General features: G+C 48.1%; 1 protein-coding gene across 6 annotated transcripts in view, besides 4 other annotated features; it reads left to right on the top strand.

Annotated features, from left to right (window-relative positions):
• Positions 12,760-12,809: an enhancer, noted in NCBI's record as "active region_19957". NCBI's record gives its function as "activates an Ori minimal core promoter by ATAC-STARR-seq in GM12878 lymphoblastoid cells {active_cell/tissue: GM12878}" and the evidence as "EXISTENCE:reporter gene assay evidence [ECO:0000049][PMID:35858748]".
• Positions 12,820-13,019: an enhancer, noted in NCBI's record as "active region_19956". NCBI's record gives its function as "activates an Ori minimal core promoter by ATAC-STARR-seq in GM12878 lymphoblastoid cells {active_cell/tissue: GM12878}" and the evidence as "EXISTENCE:reporter gene assay evidence [ECO:0000049][PMID:35858748]".
• Positions 13,060-13,109: an enhancer, noted in NCBI's record as "active region_19955". NCBI's record gives its function as "activates an Ori minimal core promoter by ATAC-STARR-seq in GM12878 lymphoblastoid cells {active_cell/tissue: GM12878}" and the evidence as "EXISTENCE:reporter gene assay evidence [ECO:0000049][PMID:35858748]".
• Positions 13,120-13,309: an enhancer, noted in NCBI's record as "active region_19954". NCBI's record gives its function as "activates an Ori minimal core promoter by ATAC-STARR-seq in GM12878 lymphoblastoid cells {active_cell/tissue: GM12878}" and the evidence as "EXISTENCE:reporter gene assay evidence [ECO:0000049][PMID:35858748]".
• Positions 13,165-17,352, top strand: part of RFT1 (RFT1 glycolipid translocator homolog) — a 63,583-nt gene continuing 59,395 nt past the window's right edge. For all 6 annotated transcript variants that reach the window (XR_007095765.1, XM_011534215.4, XM_011534214.3 and 3 more), the window contains exon 1: positions 13,165-13,262. Coding sequence is in view for 5 of the 6 variants with exons in the window: in XM_011534215.4 (XP_011532517.1) it covers positions 13,200-13,262 (63 nt within the window). In the remaining variant the exon portion in view is untranslated. The remainder of the gene's footprint in view (positions 13,263-17,352) is intronic.

Below are 17,352 nucleotides of genomic sequence, written 5' to 3'. Positions count from 1 at the left end.
CCACAAAGGCTATGGCAGCTGGCAAAAAGGTTAGCAGAGAGCCAGGGTGAGGGAGGCAGATCTCCAAAGGAACAGGGGGCTGACTTCACTTCTCTGAACTTCAAGGTCCAATAGCAAAAGAAGCCATTCTAGGTATTTCAAATAGAGGGAATTGAATGTAGGGAATCCATTATACAAGTGATGAAAAAGTGGAGAAGCTATCAAGGGAATGGAAAGGCAGCCCAGAGGGTAGCACCAGCAGGAAGCTACCACCACCCCCAGGCTAGAGGGACAAAGGGACGAGGCAGTCGTTTGCATGAGCCACTCGGAGATCAGCAGCCTGCTGGATTTTCCCCACCATGTTTCTCAACTGGGTGTTTGTGGCAGAAACTTCCCCATTGAGCACATACTTCCCTCCCTGACTGCAGGCCTGGGAGCACAGCTGGCTAGAAAACCCACTGCTTCCCCTGCCCAGCTTGTGGGCAAGCTGGAGAGATTGGGGCCTGTGCTGCTGCCCCTCCACCTCTACAGTGTCCAGAGGGAGAGCCCAGTGCCTGCTGAGCCCAATTACCAGGGGATTGGGAAGAGAGCTGAGGACAGAGGTCTTCCAAGCAATGCCCCAGAAACCCAGGAAATTGAAATCTCCATCCCATTGTCCAGACTCTAAATAGCACCAACCCCTCAGGTACTTGAGGCCAATTTTCAACAAACTGATGGACCCTTACTGAGCATCTGCTGTGTGCCAGACACCATTATGTTATGTTGGTTTTACCTGACTCCGAACCTATGAGGCGGGAATTGTTGTGTAACCCCATTTTATAGATGGGGAAACAGGCTCTGCAGGGTCAAGTCACTTGCCCAGGGTCCCTATTCTAACATGAGGCTGTGCTCTTTTAGATGTATTCTCTCACTGCCCTGAAGTGCAGACATGGACAACCTTCGGCATTTACTGTCTCAATATTTGCGGTTACAAGTGTTCGAGAGTGACCTCAAAGGTGGGGGATTTTCTGTCATTTGTAGCATTGCTGAGGCATGATTTTGAGCTCTGCGTAGGTCAAGGCTGGTGGCAGGAGGGAGTGACTGATGTGGGGGCTTAAGCAAGGTGAAGCAGGCTGAGCTCTTGGCCAGCACCCCCAGGGGAAGGCATGGGGCACTCTCAGGTTGTGGCGTCAGATTACCTGATCCCCTCCTATGGTTGCATGACCTTCAGCCAGTTCCTTTACCTTCTCACCTGTAAGATGAGACACATAAGCCTGACCTTGGAGGGTTCTCTTGAAGAATGAGATCACGCATGTAAAGGTCCAGATGCTCCTGGGGCGCAGTGGGTGCTGTTAGGACACTGATGTTGATCACGGCCTTTGGAAAGGGAGGCATATTTAGGGTTTGTGGCAGGTCATGAGGCTGAGTCGGTAGGAGCTCCAAGGGCAGGCAGGGTGATCAGCGAGGGCCAGCGTAGCCAGGAGTGTCCATATCAGTGAGACATGAAGTCAAGTAGGCAGAAGGGGCTGGGTATGTGCTCAGAGGCTCTGGTCTTTGGGGTCACAAAAGCCCTGAGGCTCTGCTCCTTCCTGGTGGTATGACCTCGTGCAAGTTACTTCAGCAGGGCCTCACTTTCCTCATCTATATAATGGGGGTGATGTCTGCTCATTTCCTAAGGTATATTGAGGAGATTAAAAACAATAATGCTTCTGAAGCCCCTAGCTCATGTCTGAGACAAGCTACAGGCTTCACTAACATCAGCAGTTACAATTATTTAACATCAGTGGTGTCTATGATTTTCATGAGGGTGGGACCAGAGCTCCAGAGCATGAATTGAAGGTGACACTTTCCCCACATCCCCAGCAGCCTCAGGACCCACTTGCTTCCCAGCTTTGGCCTTCTCTGAAGGAGGATTCCTATAGCACCCACAAGGAAGAGGCTTTTCTCCATCACTTCCCGTCAGAATTGGGAAATGGCAGAGGCCTCCTGACCTGGGGCACTTTTGACTGCTCCATCAGCTCCTACAAGGCTGATTAGGAAATGGGTCTAGATAGCTGGTTGTGAGGTGCTGGCTCCATCCACCTGGCTTCAGCCACAGTGCCACTCTGTAGAGGCCCTCCCTGACCCCCAGCTGAAGCAGGCCTTGACATCACATCACCCTGCCTTCCTGTCTTCAGGGTACTTATCGGGATCTAGAATTCTCGGCCCACCTCCCTGCACTGGGAGGAAAGCTCCTTGAGGCAGGATTTGTACCCTGGAACCCAGCACTTAATAGGGACTGGTAAACATTTGCTGAATGAATGAATGAATGAATGAATGAATGAATGAATGACGGCCAGGGAGGCAGAAGGTTTATGTTGGTGGGAGGCACAAGCACACTAGACAGAAGGCCTGAGTTCCAAGCCTAGCTCTGCCCTCAACAGCTATGTGACCCTGGGTCTCAGTCTCCCCACCTGTAACATGAGGTCTTTGGGGAGATGAGCTTCAAGACCCCTTTGAGTTCCAACAGTCTGTGCCTCTGAGAGGTCCCTGACAAGCTGCAACTCTAGGAAGCCTTCTGGCCACTGGGTAGCAGGAAGTTGCCATGACAAATGCAAGCAAGTCTATTTTGAAATATTTTCTGATTGGCTGTGCCTGAGCCATAGTGAGTAAGCCTAGAGAATTCTCCCTTCTCCCTTCCCTTGGGGCCACCTACCCTAGCACGTGACTCAGGGCACACATACACACAGTACCACAACCACTCACAGAAACACATGCACACGCATGCTCAGTTCATGCACACACACTCATACACTCTCTCTCTCTCACTCACACCCAGAGAGAGTTATACCTGCATGCACACCCTCAGCACACAGTTGCCCATATATGGTCACACAAGCACACCACACAACACAGGTGAACACACACACATAGGTACTCCTATGCATCCTCACTCACACACATTCTCACACATGCACACACTCACACACTCATGAACACAGGCATATGATCACACACATTTGTACTCATACACACACACTCATTTGCACACTGCCATATATGCACTAACTTGCATCACTCACACCCACACAATGCTTACACAATCACTCACGCTGGCACATGCTTACACACTTTCACCTCACAAACGTACTAACACAGTCTCTCACACACATGCTCACATGCTCAACCAGCATACACACCCTCCTACAGGCACACACACCCTCACACCCATGCACACATACCCACTCACTCATATTCATCTACATACTTACATTTGCTGTCCCACCTGCACACTCATGTAGTCATGCAAACTCAACTGATCACACACACACACATGCACACATGCACACTCACGTACCCCCTTCTGTTGCACAAGCTCAACCCCCACTCATGGGCAGATTGCCATTCCAGGCTATCCAGGCCTGGCCTTCTCTGATGGCTGCTCCCTGCTTTCTTTTCCCTCTTGGTTCTATTTATTTTTCTTAGCCATGATGAGCATATTTGGAGAAGGATCTATTTTCATCTTATCTGGAAACATATTTCCTCTCAGTCATGAGCTCGACAGATCAGTGAGAAGACTCCTGGCTGCTGTGGTGTGGGCTGGGAGGGCTGAGGCCAAGCCAGGATGGAGGCCAGAAAGCCACAGAGGTGGCAGGGCTTCCCAAGATGGTCTGGTAGCCCGAGCCAGGGCCACTGCCTCTGAAGTCCTTTTTGGGTAACCCTGGAGTTCAGGGCAGCTGCTCCCCATAAACGTGACTGTGTCTCAGGGAGTCTGACCTCCCTCTTTGCTTCTTCCATCTGACCTGGGGGTGCCCCTGGCTCCTTATTGCTGCTTTTTTCTATAAAAGAGTAGAGCCTTTATAGATCATCTTTTCCCTCTCAGTTTTTACGTGACAAGAAAAATAATGCATTCTATTCAGTGAACATTTCCATTGCATGCAAGATGTCATTGCAGCCTCATAACTACCTTAAGAGGTTGTGCTATTCATTTCACAAATAAGAAAACCAAGGCTCAAAGAGGTCAAGGGACACGCATAAGGCACACAGCAGTGGGGACAGAACAGGGTCCTTCTGTCTTCCTGTTGCTCAGGCCACAGCAGCCTCACTGTCTCTAGCACTCACCCTGCAGAGTTGCCTGCAGGTGACCAGAGACTAAGAGGCTGGCCTTGGCTGGGTGGTGGGTTTAAACTGGGACTCCTAAGGGTTCATACCCAGGTGGGTGCCTGCTCTGTTGGTGGCCTGGGTGGCTGCTATGTGTGTTTAGCTTCTAGCTGCCAGGTATTGATCACACTGGTGTTGGGTATGGCAGGGCAGGCCTCTGGGAGGGTGGATTGCACAGATAGAGACTCTGAAACCTGAAGCCTTTGTCTCAGGCCGTACCTCCTCCCCTTAAGGACCAGTGTCCCTTCCTTTACGCACATGCTTCCATGTGACAACCCTGGGAGGCAGAGCAGGGGAGGGTAGGCCTTCATGCCCCAGGCCGAGTCCCTGGCTTTGTGTGCCCCTTCCTGTCCCCCTGTATGTTGGCACACAGGAGATGCTCAGTAGATGTTAGCTAAAATCAAAAGAATAAAAAAGTGGGCTAAGGATTTAAACAGGCATATCTCCAAAAAAGATACAGAAACATCCAATAAGTTCATGAAAAGATGTTCAATAACACTAGTCATTAGGGAAATGCAAATCAAAACCACAATGAGATACCACTCCATACCCAGTAAGATGGCTATAACCAAAAAGATGGACAATAATAAGTATTGGTGAGGACGTGGAGAAATTGGAGCCCTTATACACTGCTAGTGGGAATGTAAAGTGGTACAGCCACTGTGGAAAACAGCCTGTTTAACATAGTTACCACAAGACCCAGCAATCCCACTTCTAGAGAATTAAAAACACATGTCCACACGAAACCCTGTATACAAATGTTCACAGCAGCATTATTCATAAAAGTCAACCCAAATGTCCATCAACTGATGAATGGAAAAACAAAATATAGTATATCCATACAGTGGAATATTATACAGCCTTAAGAAAGGAATGAAGTACTGATATATGCTTCTACATAGATAACCTTCAAAAGCATGCTAAGTGAAAGAATCCAGACGGAGACAACCCCATTCTGTATGATGCTTTTTATATAAAATGTCCAGAATAGGCAAATCCAAATAGACACAAAGTAGATTAGTGGTTGCCAGAAGTTGGAAAGAAGAGAGTTTGGGGAGTGACTACTAATGAGTATGGGGTTTCTTTTGGGGATGATGAAAAATGTTCTGGAATTAGATAGTAGTAATAGTCGTACAACTCTGTAAATACACTAAAACTCACTAAATTGTCCATTTTTAAAAAGTGAACGAAAGAAAGAAGAAAGAAAAAGAGAAAGAAAGAAAGAAAAGAAAAAAAGAAAAGAAAAGGAAGGAAGGAAGGAGGAGGGAGGGAAGAAATAAGGGAGAAAGGAAGGATTGAAGGTCAAAAGAATCTCTGTGGGGATGGAGATGGAGGTCCAGAAATATTAACTGCTTTCCCAAGGTCACGCGGAGAAATGATGTCAGCCCTGATGATGCAAATACTATAAAAATGACACTAACAGATCCTGTTTGTTAAGCACACTCATTCCATGTGCCCAATGGTGTGGATGCCTCCACATGCATTATCTCATTCATTTCTCACCACAACCCATGTGGTGAGTATTATTATTATCCTTATTTTTACAGATGAGGAAGTGGAAGCTCAGAGAGGTGAAGTGACTTGCCCAAGGGCATTTGAGCTTAGATTAGTCCATCTCTAAATGGTAGGGAAAATGGTTCTGAGTGACCCTGTGGTGGTGGTTGTTGTTTTGAGACAAGGTCTGGCTCTGTTGCCTAGGCTGGAATGCAGTGGCACCATCTCGGCTCACTGTAATCTCTGCTTCCCGGGCTCAAGCCATCCTCCCACCCCAGCCCCCTAAGTACCTGGGACTACAGGTGCACACCACCACGCTTGGCTAATTTTTGTATTTTTTGTAGAGATGAGGTTTCCCCATGTTGCCCAGGCTGGTCTCAAACTCGTGAGCTCAAGCGATCTGCCCACCTTGGCCTCCCAGTGTTGGGATTACAGGCATGAGCCACTCAGCCAGCCGTTGTTTTTTTTGTTTTGTTTTGTTTTTTACATGGCAACCCACATCCTCAATACAAGAGGAAAGCTGGTGGTGCTGCTGCATCTGACAGGTGCTCAGGGCTCAGGGAGGGACATCCTGGTTCCCAGCAATATGCAGGTCTCCAGGCTGGGACTCCAGCCCTCTTCAGGAGCAGGTGCTTGTGAGTAGCTTTTGAGAAACTGGCCCAGGAGAATCTGGGACAAATCTCCAAGCTGGGCTGTTGTTTTAAGGGGCAAGAAACAAAACAGTTGCTCATGCTGGGGGCCTCAGCTGGCTCTGGCCCAAATTCTTTGGGTGTTTGGATAAATAAGGGCTACCTTGTTTCACCTCTGTGTGACCTTTCTATGTGTGTAGCTCTGGGTCCCAAGATCCAGGCCCCAGGGAATGTCCGTTCCCACCCAGTGCATGAAAACCCCTGATCCAGGCCAGCCCTGAGTATGCCAGGGGCACTTCCTCACCAGAAGTTTTTCAATTGCTGAGGAGCAGCTTGTAGAAAATGGTAAAGAGGGCCTCTGAGGGCCAACAGTATATTACTGTAATCCCACCTCATAAGATCAATGAGATTAATTGGAGTGATGCATGGAAGGTGGAGGCCTGACTCAGGGGAAAAGATTTTACAATATCAACCATGATTACCATTATGCGGCCCACAGACCCAGAATCAGAGAGCCTGAAGGCTGACCCTAAACCAGCACACATATTTGTGTACTTGCAGCCATGCACACCTTCATACCCACCCCCCACACTACATGTGCTGCACATGACCTTGCATTCCCGCTTTCACATCCACGCTTGCAGGTAAACTCACAAGCATGTCCATTCATATGCAGGTAGACATGCACCCACACATGGACGTTGTCTATCTGAAAGCAGACTGGCGAATGGGCCTGTACACACATGCAAATGCACACTCACTTTCCCCCATGCGCGTGAACATATGCACCTGAATTTGTATTCATTCACATATACACATCCACACCCATGAGCCTGCTCCTCTCAGGACCACCAGCTCAGCACTGGCCACTGACTGGTGAGTGGAAGAACCTCTGCACTCCGGAGCAGCCACAGCCAACTCCTGGGTCCTCCAACAGGCTCGGCAAGTTCCCACCTGTGAGCCTTCATCGTTACTGTGTTCTCAGCCTGGCATGTCCCTCTTTTTGACTAAGCCCTTTTGCCCTTCAAGATTCACTTCAAAAGCATCCCCTCCAGGAAAGCTTCCCTGATTCCCCAGCCAAAAAATCTGCCCCCTGACTCCTGAGTTCCCCTTGCCAGTTTTTACCACCTCAACATACCTGGTATCACTCTTGTGTTCCCCTCAAAAGGAGAAAGCACTGCTGCCTGAGTGAGCAGTGACTGTGGCTTATTCGCCCGTGTGCCCCCTTCTGACGCCCAGCGCAGAGTGCTGAATGGAATGAAACATACTGATGTGTGAGCTTTGCAGGTTACTGTTTTCCCTGTGCCCAAATCAATGCCCAGAGGAGAAGGCAAAGCCAAGGCCCCATGATTGCTCATTGCAACCCATGGGCAGACCCTGGGTCCCAGGGGCTGGCTGCCCTGTGTAGTCTTCCTGGCACCGAATTCTCCCAAGGCCCTCACGTAGGCACGGCCTCCAGCCCCTACTGCTCTGACCTCTGGCCCTGGGCCCAACGCTAAGGCTTGTCTAGCCTGGAGGCAGATCTCAGAACTTGCTTTGCTTTTTGAGGCAGAGAGACTTTTCTAGCTCACTGAAGGAGGCAGCTTTTCCAAGGTGCCTGAAGATCCCACCTCAGGCAGTGCTTCTGAGAGCCTAGATCATTGTATCAGAAGCCCCCAGAGGCTGGGCATGGTGGCTGGCCAGGCACAGTGGCTCATGCCTGTAATCCCGGCACTTTGGGAGGCCAAGGCAGGTGGGTCACTTGGGGTCAGAATTCAAGACCACCAGCCTGACCAACATGGTGAAAACCTGTCTCTACCAAAAATACAAAATTATCTGGGGGTGGTGGCGCGCACCTGTAATCCCAGCTACTTGGGAGGCTGAGGCAGGAGAATCACTTGAACCTGGGAGGCGGAGGTTGCAGTGAGCTGAGATCACACCATTGCACTCCAGCCTGGGCAACAAGAGCGAAACTCTGTCTTAAAAAAAAAAAAGGAAGAAGGAGAAGGAGAAAACAAAGAAAAAGAAGAAGCCCCCAGAGTGTTGGTAAATGCAGATTCCTGAGCCTACCCCAGAATTGCTGAGGTGGAGCCCAGGAATCAGCATTAACAATAAACCCTCTGGGTTAGGTCTGGTTAAGGGACTGAAAGCCACACTGCCCAGTTCAAATTTTGGCACTACCATTCACTAGTACTTAGGCAAGTCCCTTAACTTTGTCAAGCCTCAGTTTCTTGGCCTGTAAAATGGGGATAATAATGGTGCCTACATTGTAGGGCTGCTATGGGAATTAAATGAGATCATGAAAGTGAGGTGTCCAGCACAGTGCTTACTTAGACAGATGTGGACGACTAGTATCACAGCTGCATTATCATGCCCTGGGACTTTTGAGAGAGGCAGAGCCTTGAGAGAGGCAGAGCCTTGAGGTCCTGCTTCTGGAAGGGGCCCTGATGGAGGTGCTCTGGGACGCAGAAGCCTTGGCCAGGCAGCGCCCTCACCCAGGACGATCTGCCACCTAGTGGCTGGTGTGTGGGACCATGCCCAGTTCTCCTGCCTCCACCTAGCTGAGATCCATGGCCCAGCTGGCCAGAGGTTCCACCCTGTCTCCTGGCCCACTAGCAGCCTCCCTCCCTGCTCCTCTGCCCTAGGAGCCTAATTGGCTTGGCACCAGCTCTGGCACTTCCCTCCAGCTTTGTAATAAAATAGGTGGCTTGGGTCAGATTTCCCTGGCAGGGAGGCTACCTGGCACAGACGCAGGAGGCGGGGAGGAAGGCTGGGGAAAACGGCTCCTTCAATGACCACCAGTTACAGCCTGGTATTCTCAAGGGGCCACTTCCTCTCCAAGAGGACCAAGAGTACAAGAGCCCTATGTACTTGTCTTTCTTCCTTTCCTAGTCCTTCATCATTCATTTATTCCAATGCACTTACACATGCATTCATTCATTCAATATTGAAATGTTTACTATATCCCAGGTGCTCAATGGTGATCACCAGGAATTGGCAAAGTTTTTCTGTAAAGGGCCATCTAGCAAATATTTTCAGCTTTGTGGACCAACCTATTCTGCTGTTGTAGCAAGAAAGTAGCTATTGATAATATGTAAACAAACGGGTACGTGTGCTATGTTCCAATGAAACATTATTTGTGGACACTGAATTTTTTTTTTTTTTTTGAGACAAGAGTCTCACCCTGTTGCCCAGGCTGGAGTGCAGTGGCATGATCATAGCTCACTGCAGCCTTGATCTCTCCAAACTCAAATGATCCTCCCACCTCAGCCTCCTCAGTAGTTGGGTCTACAGGCACGCACCACCATGCCTGGCTAATTTTTGTATTTTTTTGTAGAGATGGAGTTTCACCATGTTGCCCAAGCTGGTCTTGAGCTCCTGACCTCAAGCAATCCACTCACCTTGGCCTCCCAAAGTGCTGGGATAACAGCCGTGAGCCACTGTACCTGGTGGACACTGAAATTTGAATTTTATACCATTTTCATGTGTCATGAAATATTCTTTTGATTTTTTTCCAACCATTTACAAATGTAAAAACTATTCTTAGCTTGTAGGCCATACAAAATGCAACGTCCAGTGGGCCATTACTTGCCAGCCCTGAGCTGAGTCCTCCATGGGCAAGACCATGGAGTATGCAACTCCCAGTGGAGCGTGCAGGCCAGTATCTCCAACAGGGTCAAGACCTTCAGAGATCCTCACTGGGGAGAGGGAATGCCTCCAAGCCTACCACAGCTCGACTGCTGCAGCCCTCCCAGACTCCACTCTCTCAATGCCACATATGTTCTCTGTGGCTTACATATAGGGACTCTTAGGTCTCCTTTACAATCAGAAGCTTTTTTTGAAGGGAGGAACATTACTGTTCACGCATTTGGAATCAGAAGGGACCCGAGTTCAAATACCTCCTTGACCATTCCTTTGCTGAATGACCTTGGATGAGTTACGTCACATCCCTGTGCTTCAGTTTCCTGATCTGCAGTCCCTCTCTCATAGGTTATTGACAGGATGGAGTACACGCATGTAGAGTGCTCAGACAGGTGCCTGACATGGAGTCAGTGGTCAATGTTTGTGGATTCTCCTCACAGTTCCTTTTTCCCCACCCACCCCAGAACCCAGCACGGCTCTGGGCTCTGCTCAGTCCCTCCTTGCCAAGTGTTAACTTCCAGAATAAGAGAAAAAGTCCCTGGATTCCTCACCCAGGAGCCCCACAGAGTCCATACCTTGGGGTCCTAGAATGCTTTGCCCTTTAGACTTAGCTTGGAGCATTTCCCCTTTGACTTCTTTGCTCCTAGCAAAATGATCACTTCTTCCCTCCCAAAGCAGCTTACATGGATGCCAGGCTTAGGAGTGTGTGCACATGATGAACTCTTGGCTGGTTCTACTCTGGGGATGAGCTGTAGAGGAGGAGACTGCTTGGCTGGGAATAAAGGAAGTGGGAGGCTGTCTCACCTGCTGGCCCACAGTCCAGGGGGGTGGGAAGGCTGCCCAGGTCAAGGTCTTTAGCATCTCAGCCATTATGCCAAATACCTGGACCCTCCAGCACTTTCTCTATTCTCCAAGTACACTCCTCCCCAGGTGGGTGCCCAACTCACTCATCCTAAAACAGCACCCCTCTCTCTCTTCCAAAGCCTCTAGGATCTTACCTGGTTTCATTCTTTCGTAGCACTTAGCCCTATGTGAAATTTTATTTGTTTGTTAGAGTTTTTTTCAGTTTCCCTTTCACTAGAATTTAAGCTCTCTGAGGGCCAGACTTGCCTGAAACAATCCTTATGACTATTTTTACAGGACAGATAATATCCCTATTTAGTAGCTGAGCATACTGAGGTCACCCAGTCAGTGAGTGGCAGAATGAGGATTCAAGGTCAGTTCTCTCTGACAGACAAAAGCTCACATTCTTGGGCAGGGTGCAGTGCGGTGGCTCATGCCTGTAATCTCGGCACTTTGAGAAGCTGAGGTGGGCGGATCACTTGAGTCCAGGAGTTGGAGACCAGCCTGAGCAACGTGGGAAAAACCCATCTCTACAAAAATCACAGAAAAAATCAGCCAGGTCTGGTGCTGCACGCCTGTAGTCCCAGCTAATCGGAAGGCTGAGGTGGGAGGATTACCTGAGGCCAGGAGGTGGAAGCGGCAGTGAACCAAGACTGTACCACTGCACCCTAGCCTGGGAGACAGAGCGAGACCCTGTCTCAAAAAAAAAAAAGAAAAGAAAAGAAAAGAAAAGAAAAGAAAAAGAAAAGCTCACATTCTGGGCCTCCACACTAAGACAGAGCTCATTTCACCTGGGAAGATGGGAGTGATAGGCTTTGAGTTCCACAGTCTGTTTCCAGCAGCAGTAGCAGCAGTCATGTGTCAGGAGACATTTATAGGAGCCCTAAGAATGTTCTGTACCGCTACTTCAGGAAGCAAAACCAGGCAGGCTGCACTTCTGCCCTCTTGGAGCTCATGGGCTGATTATATAGAGACACATATTCTAGTCTTTCTGCTATAATGCAGATTGCATTAGGAACTATAAAGGGGTACAGAGTATTTTAGGGGTACTGTCTTGATTTGCTTGGGCTGCTGTAACAAAATACCATAGACTGGGTAAGTCAAAAACAGAAATTTCTCTCACAGCTCTGGAGGCTGGAAGCCCAAGATCAAGGTGCTAGCCAGTTTGGTTCCTGTTAAGTGTATGTTGGGCGCCTTACATTTTACAAAGCCTTCTTCGTGGTTGCAGACAGCTACATTCTTGCTGTATCCTCAAATAGTAAACACAGAGATCATTTTTCTGACATCTCTTTTTATAAGGACATGAATCCCATTATGACGGCTCCACTTTCAGGACCTAATTACTTCCCAAAGGCCTTACCTCCTAATACTATCACACTGGGGATTAGGCTTCAACATATGAATTTTGAGGGTACACAAACATTTAGTCCACAGCAGGTACCAGCTGTGGTTGGCCAGGAAAGTCAGGACAGTGTGGTCTAGGAGGGCAAGGGGTGCTGTCAGGGAAGACACTTTGGACAAAGAGGGTGGAGGAGCAAAGGCCAGTGAGTCACCGCCTGTTTGAGGACCAGTAAGGACTCGGAATGGCTATGGCCTAGATAGTGTTGGGAAGGGCAATGATCGTGTGAAAGGTAGTAGAAGATAGGTTGGGGCCAAATCATGTGAGGACTGAAAGAGATTGGGGAAAGACTGGGCTTCCTACAGCCTGCTTGGTAGATAATAAGAACACTGACAGAACAGCAGCTGATTGTGTATGTTGGGCGCTTTACATTTTTTTACAAAGCACTTCCAGTCCTTCTTCCACTCTGCCCTCACAATTTCTAGCATACAGGCAAGAGTGATAAGTTTAGGATCAGGAGCCTGGTATCCACTTAGTCAGGAAACAAGTTGTGTAGATTCGAACAAGTCACTTCCCATCTCCAAGGCTTTACTCATCTCTAACCACAGGGGCCAATTCTCAGAGCTTTCGGAAGGATTTCACAAAACCATACACATAACAGTGCTATATCTAACTTCTGGTCCTCAGTTCTTTCTCTGTTAAATGAGGACAATTCCTGTCCAGCCTAATTCAGAGGGTCTGTGGCTGTGATTCTGTAAGCAAAGGTCAATGGTGAGAATCTTCTTAACGGGCCAGTGAGAAGTTTGTTCCCCTTTTGGCAGATGAGGCCAGGAAAGTTAGTGCTTCTTGGTTGGTGGCTGAAAGCCTCAGAGAAGGAACTTTGGATTCTTTAACGGTATCTCTTAGTACTCGCCACACTATTTCGTTTATACGGGGAAGAGAGGGACAGACAGCGCACAAGCGACAGACAGCGCAAAACCTACCGAAATAGAAAGAGCCAGGCGCCATAACAGACGGCCCGAGACAGGCCCACTTAAAGGACCAGAACTTCTCGTGCCCCGCCCCCCTCTCTCAAGGCCATCAATCAGACAGCGAGGCGCGCCGTGACGCCATCTTATCGCGACTAAACGGAGTGGCGGCGGCATTTCCTGGTGTCTGAGCCTGGCGCGGAGGCTATGGGCAGCCAGGAGGTGCTGGGCCACGCGGCCCGGCTGGCCTCCTCCGGTCTCCTCCTGCAGGTACTCTCTGCCCTTCAGGTTCCAGCTTGTACTGCAGCCGGGATTCGCGGGATGGCAGCCCTTGGGCCCTTGAGAGCCTGCCCCAGGGCCGACCCAGTCCCGAGGTGGACCCCGCAATGGAGGGGGTGGGGGGGTCGACCGGAGACGGTGGCATTGATGAGGGGGGACCCTGGCCCGGAGATAGGAGCCTGCCTTTAGAGTCTAGGCCGGGTGACTGCAGACAAGCCGCTTTCCTTCTGAGCATTCTATTTCCCATATGGCAGTAGGAGTGAATTAGATCAGGTGGCGGGGGTGAGGGACTGGTATTTCGTGCTCGAGAATCTGATATTTTTCAGGCAAGGGGTTCATTTCCTTCATCAAACACCTTCCTCAAACTTTGAGTCCCACTGAGTTCCGAGAGTCCATATGGCATAGCTAAGAAGAGAAATCTGGAGTTAGGCTTGGATTGCTCCGTGACCCAGGACAAGTGACTTCACCTGCAGAGCCTGAGTTCCTCACTAGTAAAATGGGGGTAATAATATGTCGTACTTAGCTCATAAGCAGGGATTGATTGGGATCATTCAAATAAACGTACTTAACACAGTACCCGGCTCTTAGTATGCATTTAATACATGTTGGCTGCATCTTCTGTTTATGTGATCTTGGACAAGTCACTTCCCTTCTTGGCCCTAATTTTTGTCATCTGTCAGGTATGATACAGGCCAGTTAGTCCAAATGGTATCTGAAGATTCTTTCAACCCCAGGAGCTGAACCTCTTAAGTCAAGTGGCTCAGTATCTCTCTGTCTCACTCTTGAGCCAATCAACCCTACTTCACACAAGTCCCGAATCTACCCTACCCCTTATCTTAGAGAGGCACATGGAGGGCAGAAGAAAGAACCAAGCAGAATGGGGCTTGAGTTTGGGCCTTGTCACTTGCTAGATGCCTGCCTTCGGGATAAATCCGATGACTTCTGTATCAGTTTCTTCATCTTAAATGAGAATCATAGTGCAACCTCACAGGGTCATTAGGAAGATTAGATGAAATCATGCCTCTTAAGTGCCTGGCACACTACAAGTACTTAATAAATGTAGCTATTTTTATTAGGGTAATAAGTATTTTTAAAATAGTCAATGTAGGAATGAAATGAGATAACCTATGGAAAGCATGTTGAAGAGTGCCTTGCACGTGATATGTGCTTAGTAAATGTTAGCCATTCTAAGTTTACCTAGGGATTTTTTTTTTCTGTTTCACTACATAAATAACTGAGTTTATTGTTTTATCCACAATGTTGGTTTTTTTTCAGCCTTTGATAATATCTTACTACTCAGATAGGCTTCATAAAACGAAAACAAGTTATAACGGAAAACACACTGGACTACGAGTCAGGTGGCTTACCTGTAAGGTCAAGCTGGGTCATTTACTTGCCGTGTGACAGTGAGGAAATCACTTAACCCTCAGTCTTGCTTCCTGTGCATTTACCTCGTTGTTTTTAGTGTCAAATAATTTAACAGATGTGAGAGAGCCTTTTTGTTAAAACTGTAAAGTTGGCTGGACGCGGTGGCTCATGCCTGTCATCCCAGCACTTTGGGAGGCCAAGGCAGGAGGATTGCTTGAGCTCAGGAGTTGAAGACCAGCCTGGGCAACATGGTGAAACCTTGTCTTTACAAAAAATACAAAAATTAGATGGGCGTGGTGGCATGCACCTGTAGTCCCAGCTACTCAGGAGGCTGAGGTGGGATGATCTCGAGTCTGTGAGGTTGAGGCCTCAGTGAGCTGTGATTATGCCACTGCACTCCAGCCTGAGCAACAGAGTGAGACCCTGTCTTAAAACAAAAGCTGTAAAGTTCTTTGCAGAAGTAAATGAAGGCTGTGTTGCTAATAAGGACTGCAGTGTGTGGCAAATACTGGGTGGCGTAAGCAACCTCAGTTTCATTAGCTGCAACCTTTATTCAAACCAATTAGGAGACATGGATATGGCCTGGAACATTAAGTTTCTTAGACAGTGGTAACTTTGAGGTTAACATAAGTATGTACACATGGTGTTTTGTTTTTTGTTTTCGAGATGGAGTCTCACTCTGTTGCTCAGGCTGGAGTGCAGTGGCACTATCTCGGCTCACTGCAACATCCGCCTCCCGGGCCCAAGAGATTCTCAGGCCTCAGCCTCCCAAGTAGCTGGGATTACAGGTACCTGCCACCACACCTGGCTAATTTTTGTATTTTTAGTAGAGACAGGGTTTCACCATGTTGGACAGGCTGGTCTCGAACTTCTGACCTCAAGTGATCCACCTGCCTCAGCCTCCCGAAGTGCTGGCATTACAGGTGTGAGCTACCGCGCTCGGATTTTTTTTTTAATAACCATATTTTTATATGGTTTCTTGAGTGTTTTCATTCTTGTATGCTTTCTCGAATTACACTGTAGACACTTCAGGTAGCTTTGTGGTTACATTTTATTCTGCAAGAATTTGAGAGCTTGTTCTATCTTAATTCTAAGCCACCTATGCTGAAAGTATTAATGCCTTTCATTTGTATGCACTTAAAAAATGCTTTCACTTCTACAGTCTCATTTCTTTTAAAAATATTTCTTGTAGAGATGAGGTCTCACTGTGTTGCCCAGGCTGGTCTCAAATTCCTGGCTTCAAGTGATCCTCCTACCTTTCAGCCTCCCAAAGTGTTGGGATTTTCTTTTCTTTTTTTTTTTTTTTTTAAGATGGAGTCTAGCTCTGTCGCCCAGGCTTCACGCCATTCTCCTGCCTCAGCCTCCCGAGTAGCTGGGACTTACAGGCACCTGCCACCACACCCAGCTAATTTTTTGTATTTTTAGGAGAGGCGGGGTTTCACCGTGTGAGGCAGGATGGTCTCGATCTCCTGACCTCATGATCCGCCAGCCTCGGCCTTCCAAAGTGCTGGGATTACAGGCATGAGCCACTGCGCCCAGCTAAGTATTGGGATTACAGGCATGAGCCACTGTACCCAGCCCTACAATCTCTTTTGATCCTTTTAATCAACCCTATGTGATAGGTAAACTCATTTGACCGAGGAAATTGAGGCTTATAACAATTAGAAGATAACAGATAGAAGAGCTAAATGGTGAATTGTATTTTTAGTAGAGACGGCATTTCACCATGTTAGTCAGGCAGGTCTCGAACTCCTGACCTCAGTTGATCCACCCGCCTCGGCCTCCCAAAGTGCTGGGATTACAGGCATGAGCCACCATGCCCAGCCATATCTGCATGTTTCTAAGGAGCAGCTACAGAGCTGTCATCAGACTCAAAAGACCACCTTTGACTCCATAACGGTTAAGATGGTGATTTCTTGGCTTTGGAGACCTTGCTGCTCTGTGATACTTTAGGTACAGTGTTACACAATGTCCCTTTTTGGTCATAGCTGTCCCCAGAGATTTTCAGACCACAGTAGTCCATTGATATGCTTAGATCAAATCTTCCAAATTGCAACTCTTCACAGATAACTCTGAGGGTGCTTGACACAGAAGTGATTTTCATTTGCTGCTGGGATGCAGAAGGGAGTCATTCAGTGAATGAGGTTTGCACTCTTCCCAGCATCCCCATTTAGCAACCCTGTTTAATTACAGTCTTCTTGTTCTCTGTGTCTCATGGGAGAAGTTCTTTGCTTAGATGGTTTTCTTGAATTGACAGATTGGAAAGTCTCAGGAAATGTCCCTTTCAAGCGGCAATAATTGGACACTCTCTCCCTTCCCCCCATGTTACATTACGTTATCTTATTTTTGCAGCATCATTTAAAAGGTATTTCAACTTCTCCCTGGAAAGAGACAAGTATTCAATAAAGAAATACATTTTCTATGTTCTAATTGAGAAAACTGAAGTTCAGAACGATATAAATGTCATTATTGAAATTCCTAGATATTATGAGGCAGAGGAGAAAAGAGAAATTAGTCCCCATGATTTCTGGTGAGTCTGCTATACCCTTAAGGCTCCCACTTGCTAAGCGTATGCTATTTCTAAACAGGCTGGGGTGGGGGAGTGTGGCCAGGGCCCGGCAAGGTGAACCACTAACTAGAATTCTCTTTCTGCTTCCTCAAGGGCTTGACTTTGTAGAAACTCAGTGAGTCTATTGGGGCCTCTTGGTTGTTA

This window comes from Homo sapiens, chromosome 3 (assembly GCF_000001405.40).
Source record: "Homo sapiens chromosome 3, GRCh38.p14 Primary Assembly".
Classification (NCBI taxonomy): Eukaryota; Metazoa; Chordata; class Mammalia; order Primates; family Hominidae; genus Homo; species Homo sapiens.
The sequence above is the reverse complement of the archived record's forward strand: the minus strand, read 5'-3'. Positions and strand labels throughout refer to the sequence as shown.